Source organism: Homo sapiens, chromosome 2 (genome assembly GCF_000001405.40).
Source record: "Homo sapiens chromosome 2, GRCh38.p14 Primary Assembly".
Classification (NCBI taxonomy): Eukaryota; Metazoa; Chordata; class Mammalia; order Primates; family Hominidae; genus Homo; species Homo sapiens.
In genome coordinates this window covers 84,770,266-84,795,267 of record NC_000002.12, presented here as the reverse complement: position 1 = coordinate 84,795,267, position 25,002 = coordinate 84,770,266, and the positions used below count along the sequence as shown (strand labels likewise).

Genomic DNA, 25,002 nt, shown 5'->3' with positions numbered 1-25,002 from the left:
ATATGGATACATGTGCCATGCTGGTGTGCTGCACCCATTAACTTGTCATTTAGCATTAGGTATATCTCCTAATGCTATCCCTCCCCCCTCCCCCCACCCCACAACAGTGATGTTCCCCCTCCTGTGTCCATGTGTTCTCATTGTTCAATTCCCACCTATGAGTGAGAACATGTGGTGTTTGGTTTTTTGTCCTTGCGATAGTTTACTGAGAATGATGATTTCCAATTTCATCCATGTCCCTACAAAGGACATGAACTCATCATTTTTTATGGCTGCATAGTATTCCATGGTGTATATGTGCCACATTTTCTTAATCCAGTGTATCATTGTTGGACATTTGGGTTGGTTCCAAGTCTTTGCTCTTGTGAATAGTGCCGCAATAAACATACGTGTGCATGTGTCTTTATAGCAGCATGATTTATAGTCCTTTGGGTATATACCCAGTAATGGGATGGCTGGGTCAAATGGTATTTCTAGTTCTAGATCCCTGAGGAATCGCCACACTGACTTCCACAATGGTTGAACTAGTTTACAGTCCCACCAACAGTGTAAAAGTGTTCCTATTTCTCCACATCCTCTCCAGCACCTGTTGTTTCCTGACTTTTTAATGATTGCCATTCTAACTGGTGTGAGATGGTATCTCATTGTGGTTTTGATTTGCATTTCTCTGATGGCCAGTGATGGTGAGCATTTGTTCATGTGTTTTTTGGCTGCATAAATGTCTTCTTTTGAGAAGTGTCTGTTCATGTCCTTTGCCCACTTTTTGATGGGGTTGTTTGTTTTTTTCTTGTAAATTTGTTTGAGTTCATTGTAGATTCTGGATATTAACCCTTTGTCAGATGAGTAGGTTGCAAAAATTTTCTCCCATTTTGTGGGTTGCCTGTTCACTCTGATGGTAGTTTCTTTTGCTGTGCAGAAGCTCTTTAGTTTAATTAGATCCCATTTGTCAATTTTGGCTTTTCTTGCCATTGCTTTTGGTGTTTTAGACATGAAGTCCTTGCCCATGCCTATGTCCTGAATGGTAATGCCTAGGTTTTCTTCTAGCGTTTTTATGGTTTTAGGTCTAACGTTTAAGTCTTTAATCCATCTTGAATTAATTTTTGTATAAGGTGTAAGGAAGGGATCCAGTTTCAGCTTTCTGCATATGGCTAGCCAGTTTTCCCAGCACCATTTATTAAATAGGGAATCCTTTCCCCATTGCTTGTTTTTCTCAGGTTTGTCAAAGATCAGATAGTTGTAGATATGCGGCATTATTTCTGAGGGCTCTGTTCTGTTCCATTGATCTATATCTCTGTTTTGGTACCAGTATCATGCTGTTTTGACTACCGTAGCCTTGTAGTATAGCTGAGATGGTTGGTTGAGAGAAAGTTATTTCAGTCTTTGGAATCTCAATAATTTATTTCTTCCAAGACAGCAATGTCTTTATCTGCATATCCTGTAGAGATGCCTGTCTTCCCTCTCCTGTTGGAGTAACTCTTGTCAGTCTTGTTGGACAAGCCACTCAGGGAGAGGGGAAGGGAAGTAGGTACCAGGGCTGATGGTTAAGTTGCTGAATCCCTGTATCGGCAATTCCAAGATGTAAAAAGGAGATGTTCTGTAGCTTCCTAGGAGTATTCTTTAGCGACCCTCTGGGAAATCTTGGAACATAAAGTTGGGTTAAATCTCTGTCGTGGGTCCATCTAATATGGTCGGACTTGAAGCTCCTCTTGGGTCCTTGGCGCTGGAACATAAAGCTCTAGTTTCTCCAATTGCATGATGATGTCAGGGGAAGAAGGGTGTCCTAACATACATTATTCTAAAATAAGTTTCTAACTAAAATATCTGCATTTTGACAAGCAGCACAGAAGTGTTTTCCTTACAAATCAACAGATTTTGCGCTTCTCCATCCAGATTTGACTCTATCCTTTTTCATGGGTCAAACTGAGTAAACAAGGAAATCTGTCATTTTGACTCAGGGTAGATGACTCACAGCTCACTTTCAAGAAGGAGTCTTCTGGCTTTGGTCTTCTTAGAAGAGGGACCGCTTGTGTGTGTGCACGCCCGTGTGTGTGTACGTGTGTGCATGCGTGTGTGTGTGTGGTGGTGTCCACCATCCATGCCACTGCCTGGTCTGGCCCCAGCATCATGGTTCCTGTGGGTACCATTGCAGAACCCAACATAGTGGCTTCCCCTTTCCCTTCCTTTCCCATCCCTGTGGGCTGGCTTGGGCATGGTCCAATAAAAACTGGAGAGGCCTGAGGTCTGACTTTGTCTTTGCCAACTTTGAGCTCAGATCCACCCCCAATACCACTCCTGGATGTATGTATTGCTGTAACCTACACTATAAAATCTGAAGGTCCTCCTCCAATCCCAAACACCTTCCAGTATTTAAAGCCTCCTAAATGTTTCTCTGTTTATTCTCTCCTGTCTGGTTTTCCCATGGGTATTGCTATATCTCCATGTTCAATCCCTCATTTTGCTTTTATTATAGCTTTGTGAATTGTTGCACTTCTTCCTAACCTAAAAGACCATAATTGCTAACCAATGTTTGTAAGTTAGAGCAAAATTTATTAGCAAGACACATAGGCCTTTCAGGATATGCCCCCGGCTTACCTTTTTTAGTGTTGTTGAAGACACAACTGCCCTCCATACACACTTCCTTTTTTGGAGCTACTAACTGTTTCTCTAGTAGTGCCATGTCCCATACACTCTTGGCCTCCCCTCACCCCCGCGCCTTTATTGAGGTATAATTGGTATCCAAAAAACTGCACATAATTAATGTATACAACCTGGGGAGTTTTGACATACGTATATACTTATGTTGCTATCTCCACAATCCATATGGTAAACATATCCATGACCTCCGACAATTTCTTTGTGCCACCCACTTTTTTATTGTGGTTAGAATACTTAACATGAAATCTACTCTCTTGATAAATTAATTTAAAGTACAAAATACCTTCTGATTAACTGTAAGTGCTATATTGTACAACAGATCTCTAACTTACTCATCTTGTATAACTATAACTTTATACTGAACAACAACTCCCCATTTTCCTCCTCCTTCTATCCTGTGATACCCACCATTCTCTTGTCTACTTCTAGACTTTTGACTATTATAGAGGCCTCACATAAGAGGAATCATGCAGTATTTGTCCCTCTGTGACTAACTTATTTCACTTAGCATAATGTCAGTCAGGTCCATCCATGTTGTCACAAATGGTAGGATCTTTCTTTTTTAAGGATAAATAGTATTCCATTGTATGTATATACGATACTCTCTGTGTCCATTTATATGTTGATGGACATTTGGGTTGTTTCCATATTTTGGCTACTACGAATGATTCATTATCTCCATCAGCTTTTGGTAGGCAGAGACTATGTCATCTTTGATATCCAGCATTTATCATAATAGTACTAATCAATATTTTCTGAATTAATCCATAAATGAATGCCTAAAAAAACTCGCCATTAGCAAGTATCGTCACCTGGATAAAGCATTGTCTTTTTACTCCTATCTTTTTTAAAAAACCAGTTTCAATGAGATATAATTTAAAAAACCATAAAATTCACATAAAACATATATAAAAGAATATATATTGAAAATATGTCTATTCTTATATATATAATTATATATATATAAATTCATTAATTTTTGGTAAATTTACAGAGTTGTCCAACCATCATTGCAATCTAATTTTAGAACATTTCCATTTCCCCCCAAAAGAAATCTTGTGTCCATTTGCAGTCAGTCCTCATGTCTACTCCCTGTCCCATGAAACCACTGAACTACTTTCCATCTCTATAGGCTTGACTCGTCTGGAAATTTCATATACATAGAATTGTACTTGTGGGCTTTTGTGTCTGGCTTCTTTTACTTAGCATAATGTTTTTGGGATTTATTTATGTTGTTGTATGTATCAGTACTTTATTCCTTTTTATGGTGGAATAATATTCTATTTATGGATATGCCATATTTTACTTAGCCATTCACCAGTTAATGGACATTTTTGGCCATTATGAACAATGCTGTTATGAACATTTGTGTACAAGTTTTGTTTTTGTGTGTGTTTTTTTTTTCTTTTTTCTTTTTTTTTTTGAGATGGAGTTTTACTCTCTCGCCCAGGCTGGAGTGCAGTGGCGTGATCTCGGCTCACTGCAACATTTGCTTTCTGGTTTCAAGTGATTCTCCTGCCCCAGCCTCCTGAGTAGCTGGGATTACAGGTGTGCACTACCACACCCAGCTAATTTTTGTATTTTTAGTAGAGACAGGGTTTCACCATGTTGGCCAGGCTGGTCTCGAACTCCTGACCTCATGATTCGCCCACCTGGGCCTCCCAAAGTGCTGGGATTACAGGCGTGAGCCACTGCGCCCGGCCTTGTGTACAAGTTTTTGTGAGGACATATGTTTTAATTTTTTCTAAGTACATATCTAGGAGTAGAATTGCTAAGTCATATGGCAACTTTATTTAAAATTTTTTTCAAAGCAGCAGGACAATTTTACATTGCCACCAGCAGGTATGAGGCTTCCAATTTTCTCATATGCTCACCTGCGTTTGTTATTATCTTTTAAAATTATAGTCATCCTAGTAGGTGTGAAGTGGCATTTCATTAGAGATTTAACTTTCATTTCCCTCATGACAAATTGAGCATCTTGACATGTGTTTACTGGGCATTTGTATGTCTTCTTTGGTGAAATGTCTATTCAAATAAAATCTTCAACCATTTTAATATTGAGTTATTTTTCTTATTGTTGAGTTGTAAGAGGTCTTTATATACTTTGGATACAAGCCCTTATCAGATATATGATTTGCAAATATTTTCTTTCAGTCTGTGTCTTGCCTTTTCACTTTCTTGATGGTGTGTGTTGAAGTGTAAAAGTTTTAGATGTTGATGAAGTCCAATTTATTTTTTCTTTTTTGTGTCATATCTCGGAAGTCAGTGACTAACCCCAAATCACAATTCACTCCAAAGCTTTCTTCTAAGAGATTTACATTTATCTGTTAATTGTAGGTCTGTCACCCATTTTGAATTAATTTTTGTGTATGGTATAAGGGTCCAAATTTATCCTTTTGTATATGGACACCCAATTGTCCCAGCATCATGTGTTGAAAAGACTATCCTTCCCCCATTGAATTGCCTTGGCACCTTTGTTGAAAATCAGTGGTCATAAATATAAAGGTCATTTTTGGATTCTCAACTCTGTTCCATTGATTTATAAGCCAATTCTTTTTTTAAAAAATATATATGTTATTTCTCAACACAAGGTCCATCAATTCAAAACATTTTTGTAAGCAATGATACCAGCCATTCAGTCCATCCCCAAAGAACTGATGGTCCTGGGAGTTTAACCATGTCAATGCAGTCTTTTTTTATATTAACCGAAGAAAATGGGTGCCCTTTAACAAAATTTTAATATTAGGAAGCACAGAAGTCAGAGGGAGCCAAATTAGGTCTGTAAAGTGAATACCTAATGATTTCCCATAAAAACTCTTGTAAAAGTGCTCTAGTTTGATGAGAGGCCTGAATAGCATTGTTGGAGTGGAGAAGGACTCTCTGGCGAAGTGTTCTTAGGCATTTTCCTGCTAAAGTTTTGGCTAACTTTTTAAAAATACTCTCATAATAAGCAGATGTTATCATTCTTTGGCCCTCCAGAAAGTCAAGATGCAAAATGCCTTTAGCATTCCAAAAAACTGTTGCCATGAGCTTTGTTCTTGACTAGTCTGCTTTTGCTTTGACTGGACCACTTCCATCCATTGGTAGCCATTGCTTTGATTGTACTTTGCTTTCAGGATTGTACTGGTAAAGCCATGTTCCATCTCCTGTTATAATTCTTCAAAGAAATGCTTCAGGATCTTGACTGCACTTGCTTAAATTTCCATTGAAAGCTTTGCTCTTGTCTGCCTCTGATCTGGATGTAAGAGTTTTGGCACCTATGGAGTGGAAAGTTTGCTCAACTTTAATTTTCAGTAAAAATTGTGTAAAATGAACCTATTGAGATGTCTATGGTGTTGGCTGTTGTTTCTGCTGTTAATTGTTGGTGTGCTTCAGCGAGGGCATGAACAAGATTAATTTTTTCTTTGCAAATTGATGTGGATGGCCTGCTGCTGTGGCCTTCATCTTCAACACTGTCTTGGCCCTTCTTAAAACTAGTTATCCATTTATAAATTGCTACTGATTTGTTTGGGGCACTGTCCCTATAAACTTTTTGTAAAGTATCAATATTTGCCTTTCTTCCACACAAGCTTCACCGTAAATTTGATGCTTGTTCTGCTTCAATTTTAGCAGAATTGATGTTACCCTGGCAAGGGCTCCTTGCAAATTGATGTCTTATCCTTCTTAGTGCCTCAAACTAGATCCAGAAATGGAATTTTCAACATAGATGAAGATCCAAATTTGTAAGAACTACAACACCTTTCTTAATTTTCCCATAAAATCAGTCTTATTTACAGCAATACTTTGGGACATTTGTTGCTGAGATGTCCTGTTTTCTTCAGCGCAACTTTTTGACAGCTCTGAGACTCTTCTGACCAAGACTAGGTGCTGGCCTGGAAGGAACAGTGGATGGGTGCCACATAAAAATAAATCGACCTGATAAAGGCTCTGCTCCCTTCATGCCAGAAACAAAAAATGTGATAAAGCTATGGTCACCACTGCCAAGTCAAAATCTGTCTATTTTTATGCCAGTGCCACAATGACTTGTTATAATTTTGCAGTAAGTTTTGAAATTGGGAAACGTTATTCTTTTGACTTCATTCTTTTTTTCAAGATTGTTCTTGCCATTTGAGGCCCTTCACATTTTCATATGAATTTTATAATCAGCTTATCAATTCCTGCAACATGCTAGTTGATCTGGGTGTAACAGTCTGCTGTTACATAGGGATTGCATTAAATCTACAGACCAGTCTGGCAAATTACTTTTTACCTCCACAATTACTTCCACAGCAGTAGACACTGAGGTAACCTGAAACATCAAGGATTCTAGGAGAGGGAGAAGGAAAAGGAAAATGAGAAACAGGAAAACTCAGGGTAAGCAGAGGATACCAGAGAACAATTTTGCCTACATCATCACTTTGCTAAGCAATTTCGGCCCCATTGGGATGGCTTGGGGCAGGAGTACAAAGTAACCTCCCAAATTCCAGGCCTTTCCCTATTGGTTCACTCTGGGGACTGGTCCTAATCTATTTTTACTGTTATTTTGCTGCCTTCATCTCAAACATGTTTTAAGGTTTCATTTTACCTTTTAGGCTCTAGATCACCTGATACCCTTCTGCTGTTCTCCATTTCCCTTACTTGCCAATGAAAATCATCGATTTCCTTTCTGTCCCTTTTCAGAGCTCCTCCTTCCCCCACTTCCCAGTGCAAATATCCTCTCCCTTACTACTTGAGCCCACATGGTCCAAATTGGTTCTAATTTTGGCAACAAGATCCCTATGTAGTCACAGTTAATATTTACCAAAAATTTAATTCCTGAAAGGTTTTTCCTTTTTTACAGGTATATCTGAATTAACAGGTCTCTACTAGTCAGTTAATGTTTAGGTTCTTTTGAATTTAAGATCATGGACTCTGGAGGCTACACTGTTTGGGTTCAAATCTTGGCCCCAGCACTTTGTAAATGGTGTGCCTCAGTTTTCTCATGTGTAGCACGGTGATAATAATAGTCCTCACATTGTAAGGTTATTACGAGGATTAAATCTGCTAATTCTTGGGAAGTGCTTAAAATAGTGCTTGGCATGTAGCAAGCACTATTTTTCCTATTATTATTATTATTGAGAAAGCAGCTGTCCCATTTTCTGTGTGTGAATATTCTCATGATGTCCTTATATATTTTTGTTACAATCTTGTCTTCACACAAGGAACATAAAATATCATCATCACCACCATTAAACACTGGGGGAGGACACCATCTTTGTAAGGGCCAGGTGGGAGTAAACCAACAACTTTGTGGTACATAGATGGAAGGCCTGGCCACAAGGACGTACTCACCAGTAATGTAAATTAGTGCATCCCAGGGAATCTTTCCTTCTTTACAATAGAGTTTGAGATTCAGTAAAGCACATTCCCTGTCACTGTCATTAAATTCATAGCAGATATTCCAACCAAGGGGGCCAAACTTCTTTCTCTCCTAAAATGAAAAATGAAAATGATCTGAAATAAAATTTGATAAAATTAATTTTGTGTAAAATACTGGAAACTAAAAAGAAATTTCCATTGAAAATGGGCATCCCCACACTGCAAAATCAGTAAAATCATGTGGCTCAACTTCAGCTAGGCTTTCACCAAACAGAGAAAGCACCTCTTCCTTCAATACTGGCTCCTCCCCATATTTCCAAAAGAAAATTTGCTATTACCAGAAATTTGAAAGACCTGTCAAAAGAACATTTTTCCTTCAGGATAAAATAAAGCATTTTCTCATCAAAGCAGAAAAAAAAATTTCACCTACAGTCTTTTGGCATAAAAATACTGACCCTGCAATCATCCATCTGGTGGAGAGAGCTACTCCCTACTGTTTTAAGGAGTCTGTCCATGATTTTTCAGTTATGCCACACACAGAATCATATTTTTTTGTTTCATGGCATACCATCATGAAATCCTCCCCCAACTTCCTTTGTTATCTCCCTATCCTACCTTAATTTCTTAAATTTGAAACTGATAATTATGCCAGAGGTTTGATTCCAAGTTCCTAGCTCTTGATCTCAAAATTTTCCTAAAGCTTAAACTACCTCCTCATCTCAGCTGCTTTTGTTAGCGGAACAAGGGCCTCACCCAGAACCTCTGATCCCAACCTGTCAGACCTCCTCTAAGACCTTTTAACCTATTTATCTTATATCTGGCATCTTTTCTTTTTTTTTTTTTTTTTTTTTGAGACAGAGTCTTTCTCTGTCACCCAGGCTAGAGTGCAGTGGCACAATCACTGTTCATTCAGCCTTGACCTCCCAGGCTCAAGCAATCCTCCCACCTCAGCCTCCTGAGTAGCTGGGACTACAGGTGTGTGCCACCATGCCTGGCTATTTTTTAAAACTTTTGTAGAGATGGGGTTTCGCTGTGTTGCCCAGACTGGTCTTGAACTCCTGGGCTCAAGCGAATTGCCCATGTTGGCCTCCCAAAATGTTGGGATTACAAGGATGAGCCACTGTGCACAGTCTGATTCATTCATTCATTCATTCATTCATTCATTCATTCATTCTTTCTTTCTCTGTAGACCACACACGTTTGAAAACTGGGAAGCTAATATAGTAAATATGCCACCTATGAGGAAATCTATTTTGTGCTTGTTGAACTGAATTGAACCTACTGCATTCATCCAATTGATGGTATTCTGTAGGCAGATCAGACGAGAGGTGAGAGCTGAAGCTGTGAAATACGAAGGCAAGGGGAGTATAGAGATTGAATGAAAACAACTTGGGTTCAGACACAGAATGGGGCCTTCAGCATTTCACAATGACATTTATAAGCTTTCACTTAATTATTACTATTTATTTATTTCATAATACACTTCCTTGTTGCTATTGAAAAGCAGAGTTGAGTGTACCTGAATAATTGCATGGAAGAAACAAATGCCAAATATTATTTGTCTCCATTTTTTTCCAAGTATATTTTCTTCAAAAAACGAAGGTGTCATTTCAGTAAATGCTCGTCTGATATTTGCACGTAAGCCTTTTGGAGGCTCATTGGTCACCTGGATTTAGATAGAATATATGTGGCAGAGAGAGTGATTTTATAGATTTGCATTATTTCTGAATAACACACATAGACTGAAGCCATTGAAATGATGTAGATTGCTGATGTTCATGGGGAGGTGGGGACCATTCCTGGCATGTTCGAGCCTGCTTTGTATCTTGCTCAGGCACAGTCCAGGGAGAATAGGGAATGGCAGGTTTCTCAGACCTACAGTGGTTGAACCACATGACAAGAACCTCAGACACTTCCATTTAGTGTCCATTTTTTCTAAACACAGGTCAGAAAGCATGCTCAGGGTTTCCTCATTGAATTTTGCATCATCCCTACATAGGGCATTGTTCCATAGTTTGTCCCCTGATGTCCCATGACGTGGGACAGGGAGGGAAGAAGCAACTCTTGTTCCTCATATGCAGAGGCTTGCCACAGATCATAAACTTCCAGCATTGAAATCCAGCAGCCATACTAGTATGGCTTGTAGGCCTTCCTGTCTCTCAAATACTGAAACATTCCCTTAACACTAGAAGGGGTTCTCTTCTTATCACTCTGTACCCTTAACATTTTCTTGTGAGGGTGACGGCTGGGAGAGCTGAATGACCCATAGGACTAGAATATGCAAGGATGGGGTTGGGAAATCGTTTCTCTGCTTGTTATAGGTGAAAAGATACTGACTTCACCTCCCCATGCTGGCCACACAGACCTCCACATGCTTCTGTGCAGGCTCTGATCTCCTGGGAGGCACTAGGTGAATATTCTGAAACCAACCATTTCACATTGTTCCAACCATATGCATACATTACCTTGACAGAATTTTGAAGAACTGTAACAGGAAATGTATTACTAGGCATGGAGCTTAAAAAAAGTCGAAAAGTGTCCTTGATAGCACTATCTGCTTAAAACAAAGATAAAACAACAAAAAAGGAAAATGTTTAGTTGGTAGTAGCACTTTTCTATAAGACATGATTATTTCTAGAGAAGGAAAAAATGCTATAAGCTTTGTTTAAAGATCTAGTTAATCTATTACAAGTATAGTGTAAACTGTTTCAAAATGGGAGTAAGATGCATTGTTTTAGAAACTTCACGTTAGGAAGGTTTGGCAGTCTAGAAGCAGGCACATTTGGGTAAATAAATTAGGAACACGATAATTTTTAATACTTGCTGAACTATTAAGGGCCTTATCTTTGAAATAGGAAACATTTTCAGTTGAAAAAGAGGGCAGTTATTGCCCATGTATTTATTTTCATGAGGATTTTTTGACCCTTCAATTTAACACAAGTTGCATGAAAATGGCCAAAAACCCCTACTGAGAAAATTCTCCCCTCAGCAGAAAAGTTGCAAAGGAAACAAGGGAGCCAGGATATGGAGAGACCTCATGTGTGGCATTAGCACGTTAAGTCAATGCACTTACTTTCTGAGATATGGACAGAGGACCCAAGAAAGAATGAGCTCCACTGTAGGTTCAAAAGGCCAAAGTAAAGTTGGAAAAATCATTGTTCCCATCACAGGAAGACACAGGCATCATTCAAGGACAAATTCCTTGGCATTGGTTTTTAAGTACGTATTATGCTGTTTCTCAAACATGCTAGGCTGGCTCCCTCACTAGGGCCTTTGCACTGGCTGTTCCCTCAGATTCCCTCACTTTCTTCATGTCTTGGTCAAATATCACCTTCTGAAAGAGGACTACTCAGATTAAACCACTTAAAATTGCTATCTTCCTTGCTCCCTACTCACATCCCATCTCAATCTTTCTGGTCCTCCTTACCTTACTCTCCTTTTTATTTTTTCCAAAGCACAACCATGTTCTAACACAACGTATACGTTACTTATTTACCATGTGGTTTATTCATTGTCTGTCTCCCCCCAACTAGAATGGAAACTCTACGAGGACAAATATCTATGGTTCTTTTGTTTATCAACATATCCTAGAACAATACATGGTACACTAGGCCCTTAATTATTTATGGAATGAATGACAACAAGTCAAAGCTGATTTCATGCTTCTTGGTTTGGTAATCTAAATTCACAAGCCACATTAAATAGCCCAAATTAAAAGTTAGTTCTACCAAATTCTAGAGCAATACTAACACTGTTTGCATAGTAAAAACTATTAGGCAAAGAAGTCAAACAACAACCAAAGTCTTAGGGCCAATGATTTCAGTAACCAAAAAACCAAAGAAAGAAGAAGGCCAGGTTTGGAGAAGGATTTTTTCCATACTTTTGTTCTTATAATTGCAAAAGCACCAAGCTTCTTAACTTTCATAGACATCATAGAATTTTAGGGCTGGACTAGAAGAGCATCTTAGAAATCATCTTAGTACAGGACTTTTCATGATGATGTCATGTAGTCATTTTATAGCTGGGGAAACTGGCCCAGAAAAAAGATATGACATGCACAGTCAGGAAGTGGTGGGGCAGAACTCTGTGGAGGTGTTAGGATTTCAAGTTCTGAGGTTTTATTTGTTTTGTTTTTTTTCTTTTTCTTCCTTTTGTATTTTCAGCTTATTACCTGAATGTATTTTATTTCCTACTGGTTCAAGTTAAACATCAGAACTTAAATGGTTAGGTGATAAATGATTATAGCAAGGGCCATAAGAGGATTTTTTCTATCCACTTAAGTTTAGTAAGCACTTAAAATACACAAACAACTTCAGCTGGCTTCATTAGCCGATCCAGTCTCCTTGAAGAACTGGCAAATGTTCTTGTCCTAGTTACAGTGAAACTGAATGGCATCTCCATATTCTGGAGCCTCATGTAGTACCACCACAGTAAATTGCTTTTTTGCTGCCTCTCTAGCATTTTTTTCTTAATTATATTCCTAATCACTGGGGACCCCTGACCAGTACTGAAGACCTCCTTGTCATTTCTCTTTAATTATTTAAGTAGAAATAAGCCACAGGCCCAGCAGGAAGCAGGCCCTCTCTTATTTGACAGCAAAAGAGTGGAAATAGTGGAGATTCTGAATGGTGGATAAAAATGAGTCCTTACCTTTGTCAGAAGCAGCCTGCAGAAGGCTTGTGGGTGAGGGCAGGGGGCCAGGAAGTGAAGGGCTTTTAGGGGAAGGCTGCTAAACCCTGAGCTGGCTCAGTGACCAGAGCAGACTGGGGACTCTGTAAAGGAGCAGCTCTTCACCTTAATAAGCAGCACTAAATAAAGTGATTTGCAAGATCATCTGCAGAGCTTTCACCTTTCCAGAAAGCTTTCTGTAGGGAGGGCACAAATAAAGGCCTCAGAGAAAGGGCTCTCTCTGGATATGCTTGCCTGGAGGTTCTCTCCCAGGGCTTCACAGCAGAGTGGTAGAGTGGGACCCACACAATTTGTTACCAATAAAATAGTTCCTGAGGTTTTGATTATTTTTATAGTAACACTTTAAAATGAGTAGATTCTAATTCCACTTCCTCTCTTTGCAGCCCGTTACACTTTCTTGAGTAGGCAAAAAAGTGGTGAGATAAAACTAGTGCTAGCAACTATGAGTAATGCTGAGCACGCCCATGGGTTAGGTGTGGCTCTGAGGCACATGTAAAGGTTAGTTGCCATGCGGGTTACAGAAGATAAAAGGTGGTAAAACACTACTCTAAGGGAATTGGTGGTAATTTGAACTCTGTTCCTTTACATTTCTCATTTTATAGGGAAGGATTTAATTTCCTTTGTTTGTCCTAAGTATATTTTTCTTTTTATTATGCCTATAAGTAATATATTTCAAATTCAAATGACCTCTCATAGAAGGCAATAAGAAACAGAAATGATCCAGTGGATCCTAGCCTCAACTTGGAATTCTGAAGGCCTTTTATCAAACCCTGGTTGTGTAAATTAGCTAAATCTGTCTAGGCCTCAAATTTCTCCTCTTTCATATATGGAAACACAGTGCCTACAATAATGAATTACTATAAGGAATGAATTCAACAAGAAAAGGTTACATAAAAATGTGATTATTATGCAAGGGCTATATGCTCAACATACCTGGATCTGTGAAGGTTTTAATGAGCTCTTCCATTGCCAACATCCAAGAAACAGCAAGATGGCAATTTTGCAAAAATACCCAGTTTCCTGATTTCATTGCATCCTTGACCATTTTTTCAGCAATAGGTCCTTGTCCTTGCCCCAGTGAAATTGACTGCACCCTGAATTGAACAGCAAGAACACAATATCATCTTATGCTATTTTAAAGCAAAATCAATATGAAGAAATATAAATACAGTAGACTCTTGCTTAGGATATATAAACATTTTGAATCCTCATTCCAATAGGAGTACAAGTATGTTTTCCTTATTTCTTGTTTTTAAAAATATTTTTACCATGACCCACATAGAAAAGTGCAAAAACCGAATATACAGCTCTACAAATGATCACAAATCAATACCTGCGGTTGAGAAGAGACCTGTGCTGATACACTAGAGACATTTCTCTCATGCCTCTCTCCACCGCAATGATTTCCCCTTCCTTCTTCCCACAGGTAATCATTATCCTAACTTCTAACAACACTATAGATCAGTTTTTAAACACTTAAAAAATTAAAGTCTAACATATACAGAAAAATACATATTATTAGTGTATGGGTCAATGAATTCTCACAACGCAAATGTGCACATGTACCACCACCTAGGTCAAAAAACAGTACCCCTCCTTATCCCAAAAGGCAAAAACAATTTTGAATTCTAATGCCATTGATTAATCACACAACATCTGTGAAAGCCAATGTGGGAAACTAGCTACAACTAAGAAACCTGTGCAAAGTGTTGGCTCTCTGAAAGCACCCAGAAACAAAGCCAATGAACTATACACAACATACACCACAGTCAAGCCCTCAAAGGAAAACAGGAATACAAAAAAAAAAGCCTCAACGAAATGACAGAAACTTGAAAATGATAAACACTAGCCCCCTTGGATAATTAGGAATCAGCAAAAGAATTCTGGCAATTCAAAAAATCAGTGTTTCCTTACCTCTAAAAGATTGCAATGTATCTAACCAGATTGAAATGTCTGAAATGACAGACATAGAATTCAGAACCTGGATGGCAATGAAACTCAATGAGATCTAACAGAAAGTTGAAATCCAGTCCAAAGAAGCCAGTAAAATGATCCAAGAGTTGAAAGATGACATAGCTATATGAAGAAAAAACAAAACTGAACTCCTGGAATTGAAAAATTCACCACAGGAGTTTCAAAATACAATTGGAAGCATTAACAACATACTAGGCCAAGTCAAAAAACGAATTTCAGAGCTCAAAGACTGTCCCCTCAAAACAACCCAGTTAGGCAAAAATAAAGAAAAAAGAATTTAAAAAATGGACAAAGGCTATGAGAAATATGAGATTATGCAAATAGATAAAACCTATGCCATACTGGCATTCCTGAGACAGGAGAAAAGGTAAACAACTCGGGTAACATATTTGAGAATATAGTCCATGACAGTTTTCCCAATATTGCTAGGGAGGTTGACATGCAATTTCAAGAAATTCAGAGAAACCCTGGGAGATACTATATAAGATGACCATCCCCAAGACACATAGTCATCAAACTTTCCATGATCAATGTGAAAAAAAAAATTCTTAAAGGCAGCTAGAGGAAAAGGTCAGATCCCTTACAAAGGTCGTCCTATCAGGCTAACAGCAGACTTCTCAGCAAAAACATTACAAGCCAGAAGAGATAACAGAACTATATTCAGCATTCTTAAAGAAAAGAAATTCCAACCAACAATTTCATATCCTGTCAGACTAAGCTTCATAAGCAAAGGAGAAATAAAAGCTTTTCCAGATAAGCAATTGCTAAGGCAATTCTTTACCACTAGACTAGCGTTACAAAAGATTCATAAAAGAGCTCTAAACACGGAAATGAAGGAGTGATACCTGCTACCACAAAGACACACTTAAGTCCAGAGCCCATAGACTCTATAAAGCAACTACACAATCAAGACTACAAAGCAACCAGCTAAAAACATCACAATAGGATCAAAACCTTACATATCAATATTAACCTTGGATATAAGTGGTCTAAACACCCCATTTAACAGGCACAGAGTAGCAAGTTGGATAAAAAAATAAGACCCAACCATCTATCTTCAAGAGACCCATTTGTCATGCAACAAAACCAATAGGCTCAAAGTAAAGGGGTGGAGAAAGATCTATCATGCAAAAGGAAAACAAGAGAAGAGGAAGTGACTATTCTTATATTGTAGAAATAAGACTAAATTGACAACAGTAACAAAGGACAAAGTAGGGCATTACATAACGGTAATGGGTTGAATTCAACAAAAAGACTTAACTATCCTAAATATAGATGCACCCAACATTGGAATACCCAGATTCATAAAACAACTACTTCAAGACCTACAAAAAGACTTGGAAAGCCACATCATAATAGTGGGGGTACTTCAAGATCCCACTGACAGTATTAGACACATCATTGTGGCAGAAAACTAACAAAAAAATTCTGGACATAAATCAGACACTTAATCAATTGGATCTAAGATCTATCTACAGAATACTCCACCCATCAACCACAGAATATACATTTTTTTCATCTGTATGTGGAACACAGTCTAAGATCAACCACATGCTCAACCATAATAGATTTGATAGATGCAAAAAGATCAAAATCATACCAAGCATACTCTCAGACAACAGTGGAATTAAAATAGAAATCAATACCATGATCTCTCAAAACCACACAATTACATGGAAACTAAACAACTTTATTCTGAGTGACTTTTGGGTAAACAACATATTAAGGCAGAAATAAAACACTTCTTTGAAACAAATGAAAAGAGAGACACAATATGCTGAAATCTCTGGGATGCAGCAAAGCAGTGTTAAAAGTTTACAGTGTGTCTGGGTGCAGTGCCTGTAATCCCAGCACTTTGGGAGGCGGAGGTGGAGGGCACTTGAACTCAGTTTGAGATCATCCTGGGCAACCTGGCAAAACCCTGTCTCTACAAAAAATACAGAAATTAGCCAGGCATAGTGGTGTGTGCCTGCAGTCCCAGCTACTTGGGAGGTACAGGAGGGAGGATCACCTGACCCTGGGGAGGTTGAGGCTGCAGTGAGCCATGATCACTCCACCACAGTACAGCCTGGGCAACAGAGTGAGACCCTGTCTCAAAAAAAAAAAAAGTTTATAGTGCTAAATTCCTACATTGAGAATTAGATTCATGATCTAATATTGCAATTAGAGGAACTAGAAAAACAAGAACAAACAAATCCTGAAGTTAGCAGAAGAAAAAGAATAACTAAAATCAGAGCAGAACTAAATGAAATTGGGACCCCAAAATCCATACAAAGAATTAATAAAGCCAGGCGCTGGAGCCACTGCCACCAAGTCCGGATCTCATTGCCACATGCCACCGATGCCCGCCGGACATGCATTCCTGATTCCTTTTGGTTCCAAGTCCAATATGGCAACTCTCAAGGATCAGCTGATTCATAATCTTCTACAGGAAGAAGAGACCTCCCCAGGATAAGATTATAGTTGTTGGGGTTGGTGCTGTTGGCATGGCCTGTGCCATGCCACAACTGACGGGCAGTTTAACTGGAAGATAAACTGAAGGGAGAGATGATGGATCTCTAACATGGCAGCCTTTTCCTTAGAACACCAAAGATTGTCTCTGGCAAAGACTATAATGTAACTGCAAATTCCAAGCTGGTCATTATCACTGCTTGGGCATGTGAGCAAGAGGGAGAAAGCCGTCTTAATTTGGTCCAGCCTAACGTGAACATCTTTAAATTCATCATTCCTAATGTTGTAAAATACAGCACGAACTGCAATTTGCTTATTGTTTCAAATCCAGTGGATATCTTGACCTATGTGGCTTGGAAGATAAGTGGCTTCCCCAAAAACTGTATTATTGGAAGTGGTTGCAATCTGGATTCAGCCCGATTCCGTTACCTGATGGGGGAAGGGCTGGGAGTTCACCCATTAAGCTGTCATGGGTAGGTCCTTGGGGAACGTGGAGATTCCAGTGTGCCTGTATGGAGTGGAGTGAATGTTGCTGATGTCTCCCTGAAGACTCTGCACCCAGATTTAGGGACTGATACAGATAAGTAACAGTGGAAAGAGGTTCACAAGTAGGTGGTTGAGAGTGCTTATGAGGTGATCAAACTCAAAGGCTGGGACATTGGACCCTCTGTGGCAGATTTGGCAGAAAGTATAATGAAGAATCTTAGGCGGTTGCACCTAATTTCCACCATGATTAAGGGTCTCTATGGAATAAAGGATAATGTCTTCCTTAATGTTCCTTGCATTTTGGGACAGAATGGAATCTCAGATCTTGTGAAGGTGAGTCTGACTCCTGAGGAAGAGATCTGTTTGAAGAAGAGTGCATTTACACTTTGGGGAATCCAAAAAACCTGCAATTTTATATTTATTTATTTATTGTTATACTTTAAGTTCTAGGGTACGTGTGCACAACGTGCAGGTTTGTTACATATGTATACATGTGCCATGTTAGTGTGCTGCACCCATTAACTCGTCATTTACATTGGGTATATCTCCTAATGCTTTCCCTCCCCAATCCTGCCACCCCACAACAGGCCCCAGTATGTGATGTTTCCCTTCCTGTGTTCAAGTGCTCTCATTGTTCAATTCCCACCTATGAGTGAGAACATGCGGTGTTTGGGTTTTTTGTCCTTGCAACAGTTTGCTGAGAATGATGGTTTCCAGCTTCATCCATGTCCCTACAAAGGACATGAACTCATCCTTTTACATGGCTGCATAGTATTCCACGGTGTATATGTGCCACATTTTCTTAATCCAGTCTATCACTGATGGACATTTGGGTTGGTTCCAAGTCTTTGCTATTGTGAATAGTGTTGCAATAAACATATGTGTGCATGTGCCTTTATAGCAGCATGATTTATAATCCTTTGGGTATATACCCAGTAATGGGATGGCTGGGTCAAATGGTATCATTAAAAAGTCAGGAAACAACAGGTGCTGGAGAGGAGGTGGAGAAATAGGAACACTTTTACACTGTTGGTGGGACTGTAAACTAGTTCAACCATTGTGGAAGACAGTGTGGAGATTCCTCAAGGATCTAGAACTAGAAGACCTGCAATTTTAAAGTCTTCTGATGTCAGATCATTTCACTGTCTAGGCTACAATAGGATTTTAGTTGGAGGTTGTGCATGTTGTCCTTTTTATCTGATCTGTGATCAAAGCAGTTATATTTTAAGATCCACTGGGAAAAACATCAATTCCTGAAGTTGGACATAGGAATGGTTTGTAAAATCCTACAGCTATATCCTGATGCTAGATGGTACTAATCTTGTGTAGTCCTAAACTGGTCAGTATGAAATAGTTCTACCACCTCTGAGGCACCACTGCCAATGCTGCACATGCTGCAGTTGCCCCTTGAGCCAGATGGATGTTTAGTGTGTCTTATATAACTTCCTGGCTCCTTCACTGGACATTTCTAGTCCAACATTCTTTCCCAATCAGTCACATCCTGGGATCCAGTGTATAAATCCAGTATCGTATGTCTTGTGCATAATTGTTCCAAAGGATCTTATTTTGTGATCTATATATGTCAATAGTGTACATTACAATATAATGTGAAAAGATCTACATATAAACAATACAACCAACTATCCAAGTGTCATACCAACTAAAACCCCCAATAAACCTTGAACAGCAAAAATAAAAGAATTAATAAAACAGTTTGTTTTTTGAAAGGATAAACAAGATTGATAGACCACTAACTATATTAACAAAGAAAAAAGAGAGAAGATCCAAATAAACACAATCAGAAATGACAAAGGTGATATCACAACCAATGCTACAGAAATACAAAAGATCCTCAGAGACTATTATTAATAACTCTATGCATTGAAACATGAAAAGTCTAGAGGAAATGGATCAATTTCTGGAGACACACCCAAGACACTCCCAAGATTGAACCAGGAAAAAACAGAAATCCTGAACAGACCAATAATGAGTAATGAAATTGAATTGGGAATAAAAATCCTACCAAGCAAAGCCCTGGACCAGAAAGATTCACAGTGGAATTCTACCAGATATACAAAGAATAGCTGGTACCAATCCTACTGAAACTATTCCAAAAAATCAAAAAAGGAAGGACTCCTCTCTAACTCATTCTGTGAAGTCAGCATCATCCTGATACCAATATCTGGCACAGACACAACAAAAATGAAAACGTCAGGCCAATATCTATGATGAACATAGATGCGAAAATTCTCAACAAAATACTAGGAAAGTGAATCCAGCAGCATATTAAAAAGTTAATTCACCATGACCAAGTAGGCTTCATTCCTGGGATGCAATGTTGGTTCAACATACACAAATCAGCAAATGTGACTCACCACAAAAACTGAATTAAAATAAAAAAGCATATGATCATCTCAATAGACACAGAAAATGCTTTTGATAAAATCCAACATTTCTTCATGACAAAAATTATTAAAAAAGAAACTAGGCATTGAAGGGACATACTTCAAAATATTAAGAATCACCTATGACAGATCCACAGCCAACATCATACTGAATGGGAAAAAGCTGGAACCATTCTCCTTGAGAACTGGAACAAGACAAGGATTCCTACTCTCATCACTCCTTTTTAACATAGTACTGGAAATCATAGCCAAAGCAATCAGGCAAGAGAAAAAAATAAAAGACATCCAAATAGGAAAAGAAGAACTCAAACAATCTTTCTTCTCCAACCATTTGATTTTATAACTAGAAAACTGATAAATGTCTTCAGTAAGTTTCAGGATATAAAATCAATGCACAAAAATCAATAGCATTTCTATACAACGATAACATTTAAACTGAGAGCTAAATCAAGAAAGGAATGGCACTTACAATAGCCACAAAAAGAATAATACATCTAACCAAGGAGGTGAAAGATCTCTACAAGGAGAACTGCAAAATACCACCAGGAGAAATCATAAATGACACAAACAAATGGAAAAACATTCTATGCTAATTCACTTGAAGAATCAATACTGTTAAAATGACCATACTTCCCAAAGCAATATACAAATTTAATGCTATTCCTATCAAACTACCCATATCACTGCAAAACTATTCTAAAATTCATATATAACCAAAAAAGAATCTGAATGGCCAAAGCAATCCCGTGTAAAAAGAACAAAGCTGGGGCATTATATTACCCAACTCCAAACTGTACTATAAGGCTACAGTAACCAAAGCAGCATGGTACTGGTACAAAAATAGACACACAGACCAATAGAATAGAATAGAGACCCCAGAAATAAAGCTGCACACCTACAGTCATCTCATCTTTGACAAAGTTGACACTAATAAACAATGGGGAAAAGATTTTCTGTTTAATAAATGGTGTTAGGATAGCTGACTAGCTATATGCAGAAGAATGAAACTGGACTCTTATGTTTCACTATATACCAAAATTAACTCCAGATGGATTAAAGATTTAAATGTAAGACCTCAAACTATAAAAATCTTAGAAGATAACCTAGGAAACACCATTTTAGACATCAGCCTTGGAAAAGAATTTATGATTAAGTCCTCCAAAGCAATTGCAACAAAACCAAAAATTGATATATGGGACCAAATTAAGTGGAAGACCTTTTGTGCAGAAAAAGAAACTATCAACAGGGTAAACACAACCTACAGAATGGGAGAAAATATGTATCTGAAAAAGTCTAATTTTCAGAATCTATAAGAAAGTTAATTCAACAAGCAAAAAACAACTCCATTAAAAAGTGGACAAAAGATATGAATAGACACTTCTCAAAAGAAGACATACAGGCGTCCAAAAACATATAAAAATTCTCAACATCACTAATCATCAGAGAAATGCAAATAAAAACCACAATGAGATACCATTTCACACCAGTCAGAATGGCTATTATTAAAAAGTCAAAAATTAACAGATGCTGGTGAGGCTGCATTGAAAACGGAACACTTATACACTGTTGGTGTATAAACTGTGCATTTGTTCACAATGTAAACTAATTCAGCCACTTTAAAAAGCAGTTTGGAGATTTATGAAATAACTTAAAATGGAATTACCGTTCAATCCACCATTCCCATTAATGGGTATATATCCAAAAGAAAATCAATTGTTCTACTAAGAAGACACATGCACTTGCAGTATTCACAATAGCAAAGATTCACAATAGCAAAGATATTCAGTCAACCTAGATTCTGTCATCATGGTGGACTGGATAAAGAAAATGTGGCACTATAAACCATGGAATATGATGCAACCACATAAAGGAATATAATCAGGTCCTTTGCAGCAACATGGATGCAGCTGGAGGTCATTATTATAACTAAATTAACACAGAAACAGAAAACTAAATACTCCATGTTCTCATTTATAAGGGGAACCTAAACAATGGGTACACATGGACATAAAGATTGGAAAAATGGACACTGGAGACTACCAGATAGGGGAGGAAGAGAGGGTTGAAAAACTAACTATTGGGTATTATGCTCACTACTTCAGTGATAGGATCATTTGTATCCAAACTTCAGCAACATGCAATATGCACGTGTTAAGAAACCTGAATCTAAGGTAAAAGTTGAAGTTTTAAAAAAATGAATAAAGTATTTTCTAATTTCCCTTGTGATTTCTTAAAAGTGTATCATTTTATTTCCATATATTTGTGAATTGTCCATATTTCCTTCTGTTATTTATTTCTAATTTTATTCCTTTAGTGTTTGAAAGGATGCTTTTTATGGCTCAATCTTTTTAAGTTTATTGAGACTTGTTTTGTGGCCTGACGTATAAACTATCCAGGAGAATGTACTATGTGTACTTGAGAAGAATGTTTATTCTGATATTGTTGGGTACAGTGTTCTATATACATCTGCCAAATCTATTAATATTAGTTTTAATGTTGTTGAAGTCTTCTATTACCTTATTTATTTTTCGTAATTGTTCTATCCCTTATTAAAGATGGGACATTGAAATTTCCAACTGTTTTCATTGAACTATCTCTGCCTTCAATTCTGTCAGTTTTTAATTTATATATTTTGGGACTTGGTTGTTAGGTGCATATGTATTTACAATTGTTATGTCTTTTTGATGATTGTCTTATCATTAAATTATATCCCTGTCTTTTGTAACAACTTTCGTCTTGAAGTCTATTTTTTTCCTGATATTATTATAGCCACTTCAGCTCTTTTAGTCACTGGTTGGATCTAACGTGAATCTCTTGTAGGCAGCATGTAACTGAATTGTGTGTGTGTGTGTGTTTGAAATCCATTCTGCCAATCTCTGTCTTTAAATTGGAGACTTTAATCCATTTGCATTTAATATAATTACTAATAAGGAAGAATTTACTTCTCTGATTTTTTTACATGTCATATCCTTGTTGTTCCTCAATTCCTCAATCACTGCCTTCTTTTTGTTAGTTAGATATTGATTTTGATTCTCTGCTGATTTCTTTTACTATATTGTATATATTTTTAGTTGTTTTCATAGTGATCATGTCATGGACTACAATTGACATCTGAATTCATAAAAATTTAAATTTGAAATAATACCAGCTTAGTTTCAGTTGTATAAAAAATTTGCTACTACATAGCTCTGCCCTCTCTTGTGTTGTTATTGTGTCACAAACTATATTTTTATACATTGCATGACCAACATATATTTATAATTATTGTTTTATGCTTTTGCCTTTTTAATTATATACAAAATGAAAAGAGAAATTATAAGCCAAAAGTATATTCTTAGTGACATATATTTACCTATGTAGTTACGCTTACTTGTGTTATTTATTTCTTCGTGTGAATTCAGTTTACTGTCTAGTGTCCTTTCATTTTAGTCTGAACAACTCCTTTTAGTATTTCTTGTAGGGCAGTTCTACTAGTGACAGACCTTCTCAGTTTTTGTTTATCTGGGAATATCTTAAATTTTTCTTCATTTTTGAAGGATCATTTTGCCAGATATAGAATTCTTGGTTAACAGTCCCTCTTTCCCCCACAGCACTTTGAATATGCCATTCCATTGCCTCTGACATCATGGATTCTGATGAGAATCAGCCATTAATTTTACTGAGAATCTCTTATCTGTTAAAATTCACTTCTCTCTTGCTGCTTTCAGGATTATTTCTTTGTCTGGTCTTTTGATAGTTTGATTATAGCATGTCTTGGTATAGCTGTCTTTGAGTTTATCCTACTTAGAATTCATTAAGGTCTTTGGATGTGTAGATTCATACCTTTCATCAATTTGGGAAGTATGGACCATTATTTCTTCAAATATTCTTTCTTTCCCCTTCTCTCTCCTCTTCTCAGATTTCCATTAGTGTATGTTGGTATGGTTGATGGTATCTCTCAGGTATCTTAGGTTCTGTTAACTTCTTTTTGTTTTTTTTTTTTGAGACTGAGTTTCGTTCTTGTTGCCCAGGCTAGAGTGCAATGGTGCAATCTCAGCTCACTGCAAACTCTGCCTCCCAGATTCAAGTGGTTCTCCTGCCTCAGTCTCCTGAGTATCTGGGATTACAGGCATACACCACTACACCCGGCAAATTTTGTACTTTTAGTAGAGACAGGATTTCTCCATGTTGGGCAAGCTGGTCTCAAACTCCTGACCTCTGGTGATCCACCTACCTTGGCCTCCCAAAGTACTGGGATTACAGGTGTGAGCCACCACGCTGGGCCCCCATTTTTTTTTTTTTGACAGAGGATCTTGCTCTGCCACATAGGCTACAGTGCAGTGGCATGATCTTAGATCACTGGAACCTCAAAGTCCTGGGCTCAAGCAATCTTCCTGCCTCAGCCTTCGAAGTAGCTGGGACTACAGGCGCATGCCACCATGCCAGGCTAATTATTATTATTATTATTTTTTGTAGAGGCAGGGTCTTACCTTGTTGCCTAGGCTGGTCTGTAACTCCTAGCTTCACATGATCCTTCCACCTTGGCCTCCTACAGTGCTGGGGTTACAGGTGTGAGCCACTACACCTGGCAGGTTCTGTTTGTATTTTTTTATTTTTGCTCACCAAATTGAGTAATCTCAATAGACCTATCTGCATGTTCGTGACATTTTCTTCTGTTTCTTAACATCTATTGTTGTATCCCTTTTGTATATTTTTCATTTTAATTATTGTACTTTTTATCTCCAAAAGTTCTACTTGTTTCCTTTTAATAAATTCTATCTCATTGATATTCTCTATTTTGGTGAGTCATCATTCTCATGTTTTCCTTTAGTTATTTGTTCATGTTTCCTTTAACTGTATGAGCACATTTAAAATATTTGATTTAAAGTTTTTGTCTAGTAAGCCCAATGTCTGGCATTCATTAGGGTCAGTTTTTATTGTTTTTGAATGGGTCATAATTTCTTATGTCTTTGGATGCTTTGTATTTTTTGTTGTTGAAAAGCAGACATTTAGAATATTATAATGT

The 25,002-nt window shown here is 37.7% G+C and overlaps 1 protein-coding gene and 1 pseudogene across 12 annotated transcripts in view; one reads left to right on the top strand and one right to left on the bottom strand.

The window, feature by feature from the left end:
* The window catches only part of DNAH6 (dynein axonemal heavy chain 6), a 360,018-nt gene that overhangs the window by 24,322 nt on the left and 310,694 nt on the right, over positions 1-25,002 (bottom strand). For all 12 annotated transcript variants that reach the window (XM_011532650.4, XM_011532649.3, XM_006711956.3 and 9 more), the window contains 4 exons: positions 13,615-13,775; positions 10,458-10,546; positions 9,512-9,658; positions 7,966-8,104 (listed from right to left, as the gene is read on the bottom strand). In XM_011532650.4, coding sequence (XP_011530952.1) covers positions 7,966-8,104; positions 9,512-9,658; positions 10,458-10,546; positions 13,615-13,775 — 536 coding nt within the window. The remainder of the gene's footprint in view (positions 1-7,965; positions 8,105-9,511; positions 9,659-10,457; positions 10,547-13,614; positions 13,776-25,002) is intronic.
* Positions 16,949-19,279, top strand: LDHAP7 (lactate dehydrogenase A pseudogene 7; annotated as a pseudogene).